This window comes from Homo sapiens, chromosome 7, assembly GCF_000001405.40.
Source record: "Homo sapiens chromosome 7, GRCh38.p14 Primary Assembly".
Classification (NCBI taxonomy): Eukaryota; Metazoa; Chordata; class Mammalia; order Primates; family Hominidae; genus Homo; species Homo sapiens.
This window is the reverse complement of record NC_000007.14, coordinates 117,416,159-117,431,657: the sequence shown is the minus strand read 5'-3', so window position 1 is coordinate 117,431,657 and position 15,499 is coordinate 117,416,159. Positions and strand designations below refer to the sequence as shown.

The 15,499-nt window shown below is 37.7% G+C and overlaps 1 protein-coding gene across 3 annotated transcripts in view; it reads left to right on the top strand.

Annotated features, from left to right (window-relative positions):
• Positions 1 to 4,164: 4,164 nt before the first annotated feature.
• The window catches only part of ASZ1 (ankyrin repeat, SAM and basic leucine zipper domain containing 1), a 64,272-nt gene continuing 52,937 nt past the window's right edge, over positions 4,165 to 15,499 (top strand). For all 3 annotated transcript variants that reach the window (NM_001301822.2, NM_001301821.2, NM_130768.3), the window contains exons 1-4: positions 4,165 to 4,302; positions 4,723 to 4,822; positions 9,299 to 9,421; positions 11,384 to 11,495. Coding sequence is in view for 2 of the 3 variants with exons in the window: in NM_001301821.2 (NP_001288750.1) it covers positions 4,198 to 4,302; positions 4,723 to 4,822; positions 9,299 to 9,421; positions 11,384 to 11,495 (440 nt within the window). In the remaining variant the exon portion in view is untranslated. The remainder of the gene's footprint in view (positions 4,303 to 4,722; positions 4,823 to 9,298; positions 9,422 to 11,383; positions 11,496 to 15,499) is intronic.

Below are 15,499 nucleotides of genomic sequence, written 5' to 3'. Positions count from 1 at the left end.
GACCAGTGATACTATGAAGCAACCACAAAAACAAGTCTGCAAAATAACCAGCTGGGATCATGATGACACGATCAAATCTACACATAACAATACTAACTTTAAATGTAAATGGGCTAAATACCCCAATTAAAAGACACAGAATGGCCAGTTGGATAAAGAACCAAGACCCATCAGTATACTGTCTTCAAGAGAGGCATCTCACATGCAAAGACACACACAGGCTCAAAATAAAGTGATGGAGGAAAATTTACCAAGCAAATGGAAAACAGAGAAAAGCAGGGTTTGCAATTCTGGTTTCTGACAAAATAGACTTTAAACCAACAAAGATCAAAAAAAAAAAAACAAAAAAAGGGCATCACATAATCTTAGTGTTCAATTCAACAAGAAGGTTAACTATCCTAAATACATATGTACCCAATACAGGAACAATCAGATTCATAAAGTAAATTCTTAGAGGCCTTCAAAAAGACTTAAACTCACACACAATAATAATGGGAGATTTTAACACCCCACTGACAATATTAAATCATCAAGAAAGAAAATTAACAAAGATATTCAGGGCCTGAACTCAGCTCTGGATCAAGTGAATCTGATAAATATCTACAGAACTCTCCACCCAAATACAACAGAAGATACATTCTTCTCATCACCACATGGCACTTACTCTAAAATTGATCACATAATCAGAAGTAAAACACTCCTCAGAAAATGTGAAAGAACTGAAATCATAACAGTCTCTCAGACCACAGCACAATCAAATTAGAACTCAAGATTAAAAGATTCACTCAACACAACACAACTACATAGAAATTGAACAACCTGCTCCTGAATGACTTTGGATAAAAAATGAAATTAAGACAGAAATCAAGAAGTTCTTTGAAACTAATGAGAACAAAGAGACAATGTACCAGAATCTCTGGGATGCACCTAAAGCAGTGTTAAGAGGGAAATTTATTGATTATAATTCACAATAAATTTTGAAAATATCTCCTCCTGTCCATTTTCCCTGCCACTGCTCTAGTTCACAATTACAGTAACCTCCTAATGGGTCATGCTACCTCCTGAAATCACCCTCTGATATCAATATCACACATTACTTAGCACAAAAAGGAATGAAGTACAAATACATGCTACAATTGGGTGTTGAAAACATCATGCTAAGTGATACATATACAGTGTACTGAGTTGAATGGTGTCCCCCAAAATTTCATGTCCACCTGAACCTGTAAATGTGACCTTATTTAGAAATAAGGTCATGGCATATGTAATCACATTAAGAAGAAGTCATACTGGATTACCACGGACCCTAAATCCAATATGACTGGTACATTCTACCACCAGCAACTACCAGAAGCTGGGAAGAGGCAAGGAAAGATCTTCCCCTAGAGCCTTCAGAGGAAGCATGGTCTAACTCGATGTTAGACTTCTAGCCTCCAGAACTGTGAGAGAAAAAATTTGTTGTTATAAGCCTCCCAGTTTGTGGTAATTTGTTTTGGTAGTCCTAGGAAACTAATTCAGATAGTACAGACTTACCAATCTTGTTTATCCAATCATCAGTTGATGGATATTTGGGTTGTTTCTACTTTTGGCTAATATGAATAATGCTACTATGGACATTCATGTACAAGTACATTTATTATGTATTTGGAATTAATTTTGTAAAAGGCATGAGACTTAGGTTGAAGTTCATTTTTTACCTAAAGATATTCACCTGCTTCACAACTATTTGTTGAAAAGACTATCCTTCCTCCATTGAATTGCTCTTGCACCTTTATCAAAAATTAGTTTGTCATACTATATGTACTTGTGTGGTGCTATGTCTAGGTTTTCTATTCTGTTCTATTGGTCTATATCAAAAAATCCTGAAATCAAGGCTACACATGAGTCTTGAAATCAAGGAGAGCAATTCTTCCTTCTTTATTCTTCTTTTTCAGAATTGTTTTAACTATTTTACTTCCTTTGCCTTTCCACATACAATTTGGAATAATCTTATCCATATTTATAAAAAAAATCACTTGGTAAATCCTAAGGTTTTTAAAAACCAATTGTATGTGGATAACTCCCACATTTATATTTCCAAGACCAGGCTTCCTCAAGGTCCACACATGAATATCCAACTAACCACTTAACAGCTACACTTGGCTGCTTGGTTTTGAATATGTTAATTTGGGGATGCCTATTAAATCTTCACGTTTATCCACTGGTCTTCCCCCATCTCAGTAAATGCAATGACTACTTAGCCAGTTGCTCAAACCAAAAACCTTCTCTACAATAGACCTAGAGTGTCTTTAAATACATACACACATCAGAACATGTCTTTCATTAGCTTAAAAACATTTCACTGTTCAATTGCTTTCAGTAAAATCCAGATTCCTACTTAAGGCCCACAAGGACCTCTCATCACACACGCCTATCCTTACGAAGCTGTAGCCTCAGGCCTTCTTTCTGGTCCAAGCAGGACAAGAACTAAGGTAAGTGAGGTGACCCAGGAGCAAAATTTAAAAAGGCACTCACTGAATTTGCAGGACCCTGACAGTACTTCCTTAAACTTTGCTTCTTAGGGGACTCACTTGCCCCAGCCTCACTTGCCCCATCCTGGTCCTGAGTTGCTTTTTTCTTGCCTTAGGACCTTGGCACTATTCCTGTCCACTGCCAGGAAAGCTCTATTCTCCCACTCTTATATGGCTTGTTATTTACGACTCTGCACAGTTCTGACTATCCTATCTAAAATCTACCTCTTACATTGAGAAAGACCTTATTCTAAGCCTATTACTTCATTTAGTCCTCATAACAATTCTATTTGGTGGGTACTATCATCACCTCCATTCTACAGATAAGTTAGCTGGTACCCAGATAGATGCTAAGTAAATTGCCTAAGGGCACACAGCTACAGCTAGTGATTCCCCCAGGAAACACAAAAGTGGTTTGATTCCAGAAACAGAGCACACTTGTTTCTTTTGAAGCACTTACAATCTGCAATAGTGTTTTTGTTTCCTTGCATATTGTCTATCTCTACTTATTAAAGTGAGCTCCATAAGGCTCCATGGTTTATCTTTGACGTTGTCTCCCCAAACCTAGTAGCACTTGGCTGTGCTAAGTAATCCCTAGCATTTATTGAATGAATGCATTTAGAAAGACAGATGTGGCACGCAAATAGCTAAACTACTTAAAAATACTTACCTCTGAGCCTCTAAAGTAAATAATTTCAAAATCTTTTATCAGAGAATCTGCAAGAAAAAAACCGCAAAAGCTTTCAAATAATAGTGCATGGCTATTATCTTGAGATACATATAATATGCCCTGTTTCTTGGTGGATCTACTTTTCTGTGGTGGCAAAGAAAATCACTGTGTTACCAACATCTAGAAGTTCTACCATCTAGAACCATGTAGAAAGGTGAGTTCGAGCTTGGGCCACTTCCACCTGGAGTTGTTTGTATTATTTGCTCTCTGGACGTTTAAGTCATTTCTTTCTTTCTGGCTCTTTGGATCCACTGTACCCGGAAACCCCCTCCTTTCATATTTTCCTCTAGGACATCTACACTTCATAGCGGGGAAGTGTTTTGATGGTCTGAAGCTTCTAAATCTAAGGTGAGATCTAAGATCACATGAAATGTAAAGGAAGAATTCTTTGGGGCAGTATTTTCTCCTGGCTCCTTCGTCGGCTCCTACTTGCGTAAGGGCTTCTTGAATGTCTGAGTGGTGCTCCTGAGAGAGGTGTTACTACGAAGAGTCCGTCTCCCAGGGGATACAGATTTAACAGACGTTTGGCAGGGGGCAGATGAAAAGGATGGCGGGGAAAGTCTAGTCTTACTTGCCGTTAAATCCTAGTGTGCTCCTGCCACAAGTAAGGCATTCCTTGCAGAGCAAGAATTTCATCATTTCATCAAGCAAATACTTTAAAGAGGTCGAAAGGTAAGTCCCTGAGAGGAACTGGAAGTGCCAGCAGAAGCCTGGCGCACGAACTTCGTCACCAGTGTCAGACACGCCAGGTTTTCACCTCAAGAAGCCTCAAGGTTAGGGAGGGACGGGGCAGGGAGGAGAGCAGCGCGCCGCTGTGCGCCTGCGCTGGAGGGCTCCAGACTGGAGCGCTTCCACGGCGCTCCTTCCCGCGCATCTCTACGTACGCCCCACCCCGGTGCGCATGCGCCCGGAGAGCTGAAGGGCGCGCGGTGCCGACAGGGAGCTTCCTTGGCTGGCATGGCGGCGAGCGCGCTGCGAGGCCTGCCAGTGGCTGGCGGAGGCGAGAGTAGCGAGAGCGAGGATGATGGCTGGGAGATTGGGTATCTCGACCGGACGTCTCAGGTAGCGGAGGAGGCCTTGTCTTGACCACACCTGGTTTCAGCCTCCCCTGGCCCTCGAAGGCGAGGCCCAGCCTCGTGAAACCTCCTACTCCCTCACGTGTATTTCCCTTTTACCCAGTGGAAATACGGGAGTTTGTACTTAAGCAAACCCGCACAAATTTCCTCGTGTTCCCTCCCCAACTGTGGTTACCACCAAATACGCTTCTTTAGGTCATCGTAACTCCTCAGTTGGGTTTGGATCCATCATTACCTATTCCCTTGAAAGATAATTTTCGACACGAATTCTTTTCAAACTTTGTATCTTAGTCAAAATAAAGCCAAGAAAAAAAACCTGTGTACTTAACCAAACATTATTGTTTCCTGATGAGGTGGAAACAAAAATATATATAACAAGAATTTTTTAAAATGTTTACTTTTCTAGAAATTGAAAAGGCTATTACCCATTGAAGAAAAGAAAGAAAAATTTAAGAAAGCAATGACCATCGGAGATGTTTCATTGGTCCAGGAGCTCCTAGATTCTGGTGAGAGATAAGGGACAGTTTCATCTGAACACAGCTGTCTTAAGTTCGCAAGGATTCTTTATTTTTAAAAGGTTTATGTTGCTTTTCTAATGGAAACGCAACAAATGTTAATGTATCATCCTGCATAATCTTCGTTGACTGAGTCCAGTCTGCCTTATTTTCTTCCTCTCTGCTTGCATTTGGAATGCCACCCTGTTTATCTTCCATCAGTTCTTCCCCCTCCTTCAAGCAAGAGGCCTACTCTAATCCTATCCCACTCTGATCATTCTTAATTCTCTCTTCATTTACTCTGCTGTAATGTTGTTTCTTTTTTCTTTTCTTTTTCTTTTTTTTTTTTTTTTTTTTTTGAGATGTTATCTTGCTCTGTGGCCCAGGCTGGAGTGCAGTGGCGCGATCTTGGCTCACTGCAATCTCCACCTTCGGGTTCAAGCGATTCTCCTGCCTCACCCTCCTGAGTAGCTGGGACTACAAGCGCGTGACACCACGCCCGGCTAATTTTTTTTTTTTTTTGTATTTTTAATAGAGAGAGGGTTTCACCGTGTTAGCCAGGATAGTCTCGATCCTCTGACCTTGTGATCCGCCTGTCTCGGCCTCCCAAAGTGCTGGGATTACAGGCATGAGCCACCGTGCCCTGCCTGTTGTATGTTTCTTAAGAAATGGTTCTACATTTTAGTTCTTTCTCGTTACAGTTTTTTGTTTTGTACTGGTGGAATGAGGCCTGAGCTAGGAATCAGAATAAATATATGGATAATTTCTTCCAGTTTATTGCCCACTCTGGTTTCTTGGAAGAGGCATTAAAACTTTGAGAGCATCAGATTTCATTTTTGGGGGGTTGAAGGAAGGGGATGGAGTGTCTCTCTCTAGCCCTGCTGGAGTGCAGTGGCACCATCTTCGCTCACTGCAACCTCCATCTGGGGGCCGGGATTCAAGTGATTCTCCCACCTCAGCCTCCGGAGTAGCCGGGACTAAAAGCACCGGTCACCAAGCCCAGCTAATTTTGGTAATTTTAGTAGACACGGGGGTTTCACCATGTCGGCCAGGCTGGTCTTGAACTACTGACCTCAAGTAATCACCCACCTCGGCCTCCCAAAGTGCTGAGATTACAAGCAAGAGCCACCGCCCCCAGCCAGAGAGCATCAGTTTCTTTATGTAAAGCATCATAATTCTGTCCTGGGCTTCATGAATTTTTTGTGTATTAAATAAAAAAAAAACTTTAAATTACCTTCACATAGAAATGTAAATTATTGATTATAATGATTGAAATTACTGGCCGGGCGCGGTGGCTCACGCCTGTAATCCCAGCACTTTGGGAGTCCAAGGCGGGCGGATCACGAGGTCAGGAGATCGAGACCATCCTGGCTAACACAGTGAAACCCCGTCTCTACTAAAAAACACAAAAAAAATTAGCTGGGCGTGGTGGCGGGCGCCTGTAGTCCCAGCTACGCGGGAGGCTGAGGCAGGAGAATGGCGTGAACCCGGGAGGCGGAGCTTGCAGTGAGCCGAGATCGCGCCACTGCACTCCAGCCTGGGCGACAAAGCGAGACTCCGTCTCAAAAAAAAAAAAAAAAAAAAAAAAGAAATTACTCAAAGGAATAACAAGCATTTACTTCAGTTTGATGCAAAAATAATTGTGGTTTTTGCCATTGTAGATACAAAACATTCACACACAAGGTAGTTAGATGTGATTATATATAGCATAATGTTTTTCTTCTATGCTAGAATCAATGCATAGTTTACTGAAAAGTAAATAATTTTGAAAACAAGACAGATCTGGGTTTGATTACTAACCATGCCACTTGATGGCTTTGTAACCTTGACTAAGTTACCAAATCTTCCTAAGCTTCAATTTCTGCCCGTTTTAAAATGAGGATTATTATATCAAAGGGTTGTTGGCAAGGGGGAGAATTAAAATACGCTTTTAAAGGACTTAGAACACATAGGAATTATGTAAACATTACCTGTTATTCTTATAAGAAATGAGAAGGATCTGTATGACTTTTTGGACAATGGAACTTGAGTTTGGAATTGAAAAACGAAATTGAATAAACTCTGAATAAGTAGAAAGAGGCCCGAATACCTAATATTAATATATGTATAGTGTACATAGCATGGGGTGGAATAGGCAGAGATTTGTTTTAGAAAAGAAAATTTGCCTTAGGAGTAGTGGGACTAGGTACAGTGAATGTGATAGAGGCTTTTGAAGGATTAAGACTTGATATGATTGATGGGCAGATGTGAGCTTTTCAGTCTCTTGAACAGAGCCTACTGCTAAGTATTTAGTCAACCATTTGAAATTTGTTTTTAGTTACAAAAATTTTTAAAGTTCATTTTTAAAAGGCAGTAATAGAGATATAGGTAGAAGGAGAAAGATTTCTTTACCATTGTCCTCACTGTCATTCCCCTTACTGCTGATGCCTCACTTTCACAGGTTAACTCCTGTTTTAGGGTATTTCCTTCCAGATGTCATTATGTAACTCTTTTTAAAAATATTGTTAATTTTTTGCCTTTCAAAGTCATTATTGTTCTTGAAACATGCTTCTGCACCAATTGGAAACTCTAAAAATAAAAGCACATTTTGAGTCAGCCACTTTTAACCATTTGAAGATGTCTCCAGTTTTTGTTATTCTGTGTACTATCATTTTCAATTTTCTTTAAAGTATGACATATTTTAGACATTCAGAAAAGTACGGTACCCCCTCTGGAGATAACTACTTTTCTATAGTTGATGTTTATCATTCTTATGAGTATCTTTATACTTTTACTATGTCCCTAAACAATATAGTATTATTTTGAATGTTTTTGAGCTCTATAAATATACTGTGTTCATCCTTTTGAAACTTACCTTTTTTTGCACTATGCCTGGAACATAATATGTGCTTAGTAATTTATGTTAAATATTAGAGGTTAAATATTAAGTTAGAATTTTAGTAAGAATTTTTATACTAAAATGCCACATTTGCTTTTTTTTTTTTTTGAGATGGAGTCTCACTCTGTCGCCCAGGCTGGAGTGCAGTGGCATGATCTTGGCTCACTGCAAGCTCTGCCTCGTGTGTTCACGCAATTCTCCTGCCTTGGCCTCCCAAGTAGCTGAGACTACAGGCACCCACCACCACGCCTGGCTAATTTTTTTTTTTTTTTTTTTTTTTGTATTTTTAGTAGAAACAGGGTTTCACTGTGCTAGCCAAGATGGTCTCAATCACCTGACCTCGTGATCCACCCACTTCGGCATCCCAAAGTGCTGGGATTACAGGCATGAGCCACCGTGCCTGGCCTTTGCTTCTTTTTCTTTGCATCTTTTCCTTTCTATCTTTGCTATCACAGTTTGAGCAGTATTCTCAATAAATTGAGAAAACAATGATCTTTTCTCTGATCTCATTGATAAGCTTTCAATCAAAGCAGTTCAAAGAGGAAGATTTGTTAGAGAAGACAAGTAGGGCTAGCAGTAGATGTCTATACTAAGATGGTTTAATGTTTTCTCCCAGTGATTATTATGTACCTTATATCAATTAAAATTAGACAGTTAGAAATTAGACATATGTAGTCTTTCAGTGACCCGGTGTTTATACAGCCAAAAAAGTGACAGAGTGAGATCCTAAAAAAAAACAACAAAATACAAACAAACAAAAAAAACTTACTTTCAATACCTGATATCTCCCTTTATTTTAGCTCACTGCTTGTCATTCGATTGTCCAAGACAGAATTTGATAGTCATTTTTAATTTGTTGTTGTCCATCATACCTCCTCCTCAAAGTAATTTTAAATTCTGATGACCCTGCCTTTGAAATGTCCTTTTGTTTTCCTTCCTTTCTCTCTCCACTGCCCTTGCTCTGATTGTCGTATAAACTTCCTGTGTTATAACTAGTTTCCTTGCCTCCTGTCCCATTCTCAATAGTGGTGTCTATGTTGTCTTTATAATACATATGTAATGATGTCAGTTCCTGGATCACAAAACAGAGTCTGCGTTTCTTAAGGGAGTTTTCATAATCTAACCTTAACCTGTCTTTTTAGCTTCATGTTTTATCAGTCACCCATGGGTAAGTTTAGTGTTAGGAATAAAGTTAAAGGTTTTTGAGGGATATATGTGGTATTTTCAACCATAGAGATAACTGATATTGCCCAGGGATAATATTCTAATTTAAAAGACATTTTACCTCTGTGAAACCTTTCCAGCTCCCCTAGAGAAAAAAAAGGTAGCATGTAAAAACCTGTTATAATATACATACTCAGTTACATATATGATAAAACATCAGTCATATCAGTCTCGGAACATAGTGCCTGTAGTGAAACTGAAGTTAGCAAATTGTGTTAATGTCCCAATATAACTATTTTGTATTTTTTGGAAGCCATTAAAAACTTCCCATGGTGGAATAAAGTACATGATGTACGTCACTTTACACAGTACTTTAAGCATATAAGGTGACTGATTTTTTTCTTTGGTGGTAGTGTGCTTTTAAAAGCTTGTTTTTATATTGACAGGCATTAGTGTAGATTCCAACTTTCAGTATGGATGGACTCCCCTTATGTATGCTGCTAGTGTTGCCAATGCAGAGCTGGTTCGGGTCCTTTTGGACAGAGGTGCTAATGCAAGCTTTGAGAAGGGTAAGATGTTTTAGATAACTTAAATGATTATGCTTACTGTGATTCCTTGGTTTCCAAGTAGCTATTATATAAAGTGCAAAAAACTAAAGCCATTTGAAGTAACCTTTCTATTCATTATACTATGTAAATAATATACAAAATCAAATTAGAAACCATACATATTCTGAAAAACTCTCTTTCCAAAAACATAAATTCCAGTTATAGTATCTTTATAACTGGTTGTTATTATATATCTTTAAGGTTTTGGTTGTTTTTAAAGGAAAAATTCTTGAAAGAAACATTAAAAAGTTTATAATTTAGTGGCAAATTACTGGAAAATCAGTCTGTGGAATTTTAAACTAAACTCCAAATTACATCACTTAAAGTTGTTTCAAAGATAGTTCATGAAATCCATCTTTGTCCTTGTTACTAAATAATTTCCATTCAGAAGTGCTTTGAGTGTAAGAAGAACAAGAGTATATGAGCAAATCCAGTTTAATTATTACATTGAATTCCTGATTACTTATTTTTAACATATTTTCAATAGACAATTAAATTTTCTTCATAATTTCAGGTATAGGTTTCATTTTAGAATTGATTTTTACATTTTATACCTACAATTTTATTCTTTTTTCTCATTTATATATTTTACATAAATTTCTGTCTTAGCAACAGTTTCATGTTTAATATTTTCTATTAGGTTTTTCTTTTTATTATATCATTTAAAAATATCACTTGGCCAGGCATGGTGGCTCATGCTTATAATCCTAGCAATAGCACTTTGGGAGTCTAAGGCAGGAGGATCACTTGAGCCCAGGAGTTCAAGATCAGCCTGGACAACATAGTGAGACTTTGTCTCTACTAACAATAAAAAAATATTAGCCAGGGGTGGTGGCACACACTTATAGTCTCAACTACTCAGAAGGCTGAGGCAGGAGGACTGCTTGAACCCAGGAGTTCGAGGTTGCAGTGAGTTATGATCATGCTACTGCACTCCAGCCTGGACAACAGAGTGAGACACTGTCTCAAAAAAAAATTACTCAATGAAAGCTATGCTTAGGAATGAGGTTTTCAAAAGTGTATAAAATATTCTGCTCAAAAAATTAATTAATAATTATTCTTTTTATACTTCCCCCTCCTTGTAATCAGAGGGATAGTTAGAGCTATAAAATATATTTTTCACAGAATGTACACATGAGTTTTTTATGTGTCCCACAATAACCCTGTTACATACAAAGGGCAGATACTAGGTTCTTATCTGTATGTTAAATCTAATGAGCTATTAAGATATCACAAGAGTTACAGTTTCTTAGTGGCAGGACTGGGACTAGAATATGCTCTGTCAGTATTGAGCCACTAATGTGAATCATAGCTGTTGTGACCTATTTTGAAGTCTTAATTCAAAATAGGTGTTTTTTGTGTTTAATTTACTCTGATCTTTGCTGGCACCATGAGAGCCAAGGGAAGAAGAGTTTTAGGAAACAGTGAGTTCAGAAAGATGAAGTACAAAAGGACTGAAAAGAAACCAAACCAATGGATGTGGCAGTCATAGCAATTTCAGTAGGGTAGTTTATAAGCCAGATTTCAGGAGTTTTCAAATGGATAAGAAGTGAAATCAGAGAATATAGATCATTGTTTCCCAAACATGAGTTTAGCAAGGCAAATTTTAATCAACCAAAAACTGTTCAAATCCAGACAATGTGGCTGTGTCCATGTCCTTAACCACTTTCTGTTCTCTTGAAGTAATGGGAGTAAGAGGGGAAGGAAGTTAAATGAATTATAGATAAACTTTGGAGACTGAAGGGATTCATGTCTAATCTCATCTTTCGATGAAGGAAGACAAAGTTACCTGCTAAGAGTGAGAGATTTGGGAAGAGGTTATAGAGTTTTAGAGTGCAATAATAGAATGTTTTGAGTGGTAAAGACATCGAATAGATGCTCTTGATGTATGGGGATTTTTCCTCACTTTTCTATTCACTATAGATAAGCAAAGTATTTTGATAACTGCATGTTCTGCTCATGGCTCAGAGGAACAGATCTTGAAGTGTGTAGAACTACTACTTTCAAGAAATGCTGATCCAAATGTTGCTTGTAGGTAAGAGCCTTTATATCTGTTCAAAATTCAAGTCAAATTAGAATTTTTCTTTGGTATCAGCCTTTTAAAAATCATGAACAATGTTTACTTGGCCAAATAGTTGATGAATGAAAATAGTTCATAAGGTCATTGTTCCAATTCTATAAGATTATCAGAGGAAGGGGATATCATGAAAGTAGTCTTTCAACTCTACATTTTGAGAGAAACGTCATAAGAATTTAGAATGAGAGGGAAAGGAGGACAATAAACTATAGTATCTTTTCTTGTGAATCATACTACTCTAAAGAATATGACGATTGACCTGTAAGAGTAAAGCCTTTTAATGTTCTCTCTGTATAACATTTAACAACTAAACAATTTTACAAAAATACTAAGAAAATATATCCATTTTCTATTTTCCTAATTGTTTCCATTTTCTTAAGACTTCACGAATTAACTAGGTAATAACATGTATGTAATAGTGCCTAGATGCATAGAAGACAAGCAGTAAATGTATCTTGCATCTTTTGAAATGTCAGTAATAAAAATGAATCAGATTGCTTAAAATTTCTATCACATTGGCTTCCTTTCTGACTCTATCTTCTATTTCATCTTCCTATTAAATCTCTCTTTGTGTTTCATTTAATCTTTAAAATGAGTAGGAAGTAGCCCATCTAACAAAAATGTCTAGCACAAATAGAATTATTATTCATAATTCATTAGTTCAGATAATGATGATCTAGTACCTGATATACAGAAATAATTATGCTACACTCTGGAAGTTTTTTTCTAAATTGGTTCAGTTTCTATGATACCTGGACAGCAACCTTGGAAGCTACTTTACAGCTTTAGATAGTTCCCAAATCTTTGTTGAGATTTAAAAAAATAATATTTTAGTCTAGTTGTAGTGGTTCTCAAGCAAGGTCTATTTGGCCTTTCAGGGGATATTTGGCAATGTCTAGAGACATTTTTGATTGTTATACCTGAGAAATACTACTGGTACCTAGTGGATAGAAGCCAGGGATGCTGCTGAACATCCCAAAATGCATAGAACAATCCCTCAAAACAAAGAATTACAAATCCCCAAATGTCAGTAGTGCCATGGTTGAGAAACCCTGATCTAGTGTGAGAAGGGCCAAGATGTATTGAGTGGATAATTAATATTTAAACAAAGATAAAAAAGAACTGGCAGAGAAACTACCTGCAAACCTGTATTTTTTTTTAAGACAGGGTCTTGCTCTGTCACCCATGCTGGAGTGCAGTGGCACCATCGTGGCTCGCTGTAACTTCTGCCTCCCAGTCTCAGGTGATCCTCCCACCTCAGCCTCCAGAGTAGCTGGGACTACAGGCACACACTACCACAGTTGGCTAATTTTTGTATTTTTGTAGAGACGGGGTTTCACTATGTTGCCCAGGCTGGTCTTGAACTCCAGGGCTCAAGCAATCTGCCTGCCTCCACCTCCCAAAGTGCTGGGATTAAAAGTGTAAGCCACCATAACTGGCCTACCTGCAAACATTTTTTTTTTTTTTTGAGATGGAGTCTTGCTCTGTCGCCCAGGCTGGAGTGCAGTGGCACGATCTTGGCTCACTGCAACCTCTGCCTCCTGGGTTCAAATGATTCTCTTGCCTTAGCCTCCTGAGTAGCTAGGATTAGAGACGCACGCCACCACGACTGACTGATTTTTGTATTTTTAGTAGAGATGGGGTTTCACCATGTTGGCCAGACTGGTCTCAAACTCCTGACCTCATGATCCGCCCACTTTGGCCTCCCAAAGTGCTAGGATTACAGGCATGAGCCACCGCACCCGGCCTCAAACTTTTAACGAAACTTTTATCCTGTCATATATGGTATAATCCTTAGTAAAATGTAACTTTTGGATCTGGTTATACCTTGGAATTAGGACATGTGCTTTAGTACTCCTTGCTGAAGTAAACTTCCATGAGTTGTAATTTTGATGTATACCTTTAGAAGTGGCATGAGATAAAACTTTTGCTTGGTGCTCTTCACTTTCTTTTTTTCCGACTGCCTCTATGAGATTTTGTAGGTAGTGAAGTCTTTACCCTCCTAATCACCTAAAATGTTGTAAACACACAGAAGTCAGTCAAGCCAGTGTCATAGGTTCTAGACTATTCTTTCTCCTCAAGAACTAGAAGATATCCTTTAGGTACATAAGATGTATTGGGAAAAACAGATTCAATTTGAATTAAAATGACACAAGGTTAGCATCTTATGCTAGAAACTATAAGGCAATGACACTATAAGGCAGTTTCAAAACTGAAAATCCTAAATGAGCAGATGAATTTGAAAGAGCACAAGATTTAGCTTGGTATATGATCAACTCTCTAAAATAATTAGAGAATTTATAGAGTGGTTGAAGAAAATAAAGCAATATGCATTTAATTAATAGATGTGAGAAATAACCTGAAAAACTATTCAGCTGCTTCTTTTTTAATGCTCAAAGCATAAAGCAATAAAATTGAATTGTGTTTTCTTGATAGAGCTGAAAAGAGGATAAGTTATGGCAAAAAGTGCTTTTAGGCTGCAAATTTTATAAGAAGGATAGCATTAGGGGACATGGTGGGATAGCGTGCTGTCAATGTGAAAGACAAAACATATCAGGACATATGGGGAGTACAATGAAATTTGAAGAGAATTTTATAGCTAACTCATTAGCAGTGACAAAAATCAAAACCTATTAGAAGATTGGGAGCTTTAGATTCCTGTAAAAAGTGCCAAAAGATACCAGCAATACATCTGGGAACCACTCTTCAGATGTCAAGGAGAAAAACAGATCTTCAGATGAATTTACTTTCAGGCTGTTGATGTAGCCTTTTTTGTTGAGCAATGCCATTGCTGAGAAAAATTACCTCTCAAGAAAAAGAGCACAAGGAAAGAGTCAGCCATAAAACATAAATGGCTAGATTTTGCGAAAGCTAGATAGATGGTCACGTACTTGATAGATGCAAAGAAAGTTGGCTTCTAACTTTTTTTTTTTAACTAATACGGGATCAGTAGTCTTGTCTCATGAAGTGAAATTAATAACAAAGTCTTGGAAATCAGCCTCTAAGCTTGAGATTGAAGTCTCAGTTTCCATGTGTAAAGTAGCATGAACTCTTCTCCATTCTGTGGAAATACCTCATAAGACAGGATCTTAGTTTTTAGATAAAATGGGGAAAAATGAGTTACTGATTCGTACTAGGAGCAGGAAGATAATTTCTAGGGGTTTGTAGATCTTAAAATGAAAGTAAGTCACTTGAATTACTTGGTTCTGTTTGCACTACACTACAAGTGAGTAGATGGAAGAATAAAGATTAAGAAGAAACTGTTGAATTTCCTCTACTTAACTAATTAGAAATCTCGCTGAATGGTACTGAGGGAATTCTGTAATAGTTTAAATTTTTTAACTTGTATATAATTTACATACACATAATTAAAATACTCAGATTTTCAGTGTACAGTTGGATCAGTTTTGATAAATGCATACATTTGTGTAACTTACACCACAAGATGAGATATTTCTATCACTCCAGAAAGTTCCATTGTGTCTCTTGCCAGTCCAGTTCCCTCTCCACCAGAAGCAACCATGTGATCCGGATCTTGTTTCTACCACTATAAATTTTTTCTGTTCTAGAATTATAGAGTATTTTTGTGATTTCTTTAACTGAATATAATAAATTTTAAGACTCATCCATGCTCTGTGTATTAGTAGTTTGCTATTTTCTTTATGGCCTGAGAAAAACAAGTGTTCCGGTAAGGCAGAAAATCAATTGCTTAGAAATTAAAAGAAAGGACAAAAAAGCCATAAAGTTGTTAACAAGATTTCATTAGGCAGAATTTTAAAGTATTTAGGCTCTATGCTAAGGCAGCATGAGTGCTGACAATATAGTACGTCTTTCTAAGTCCCTAAACAGACAAGCACCTTGCATCAGTGCTTCAAGTAGCAAGCACTGACTATCCACTCCTTTTTTATTTTATTATTTATTTATTTATTTATTTTGAGATGGAGTCTCGCTCTGTCACTCAG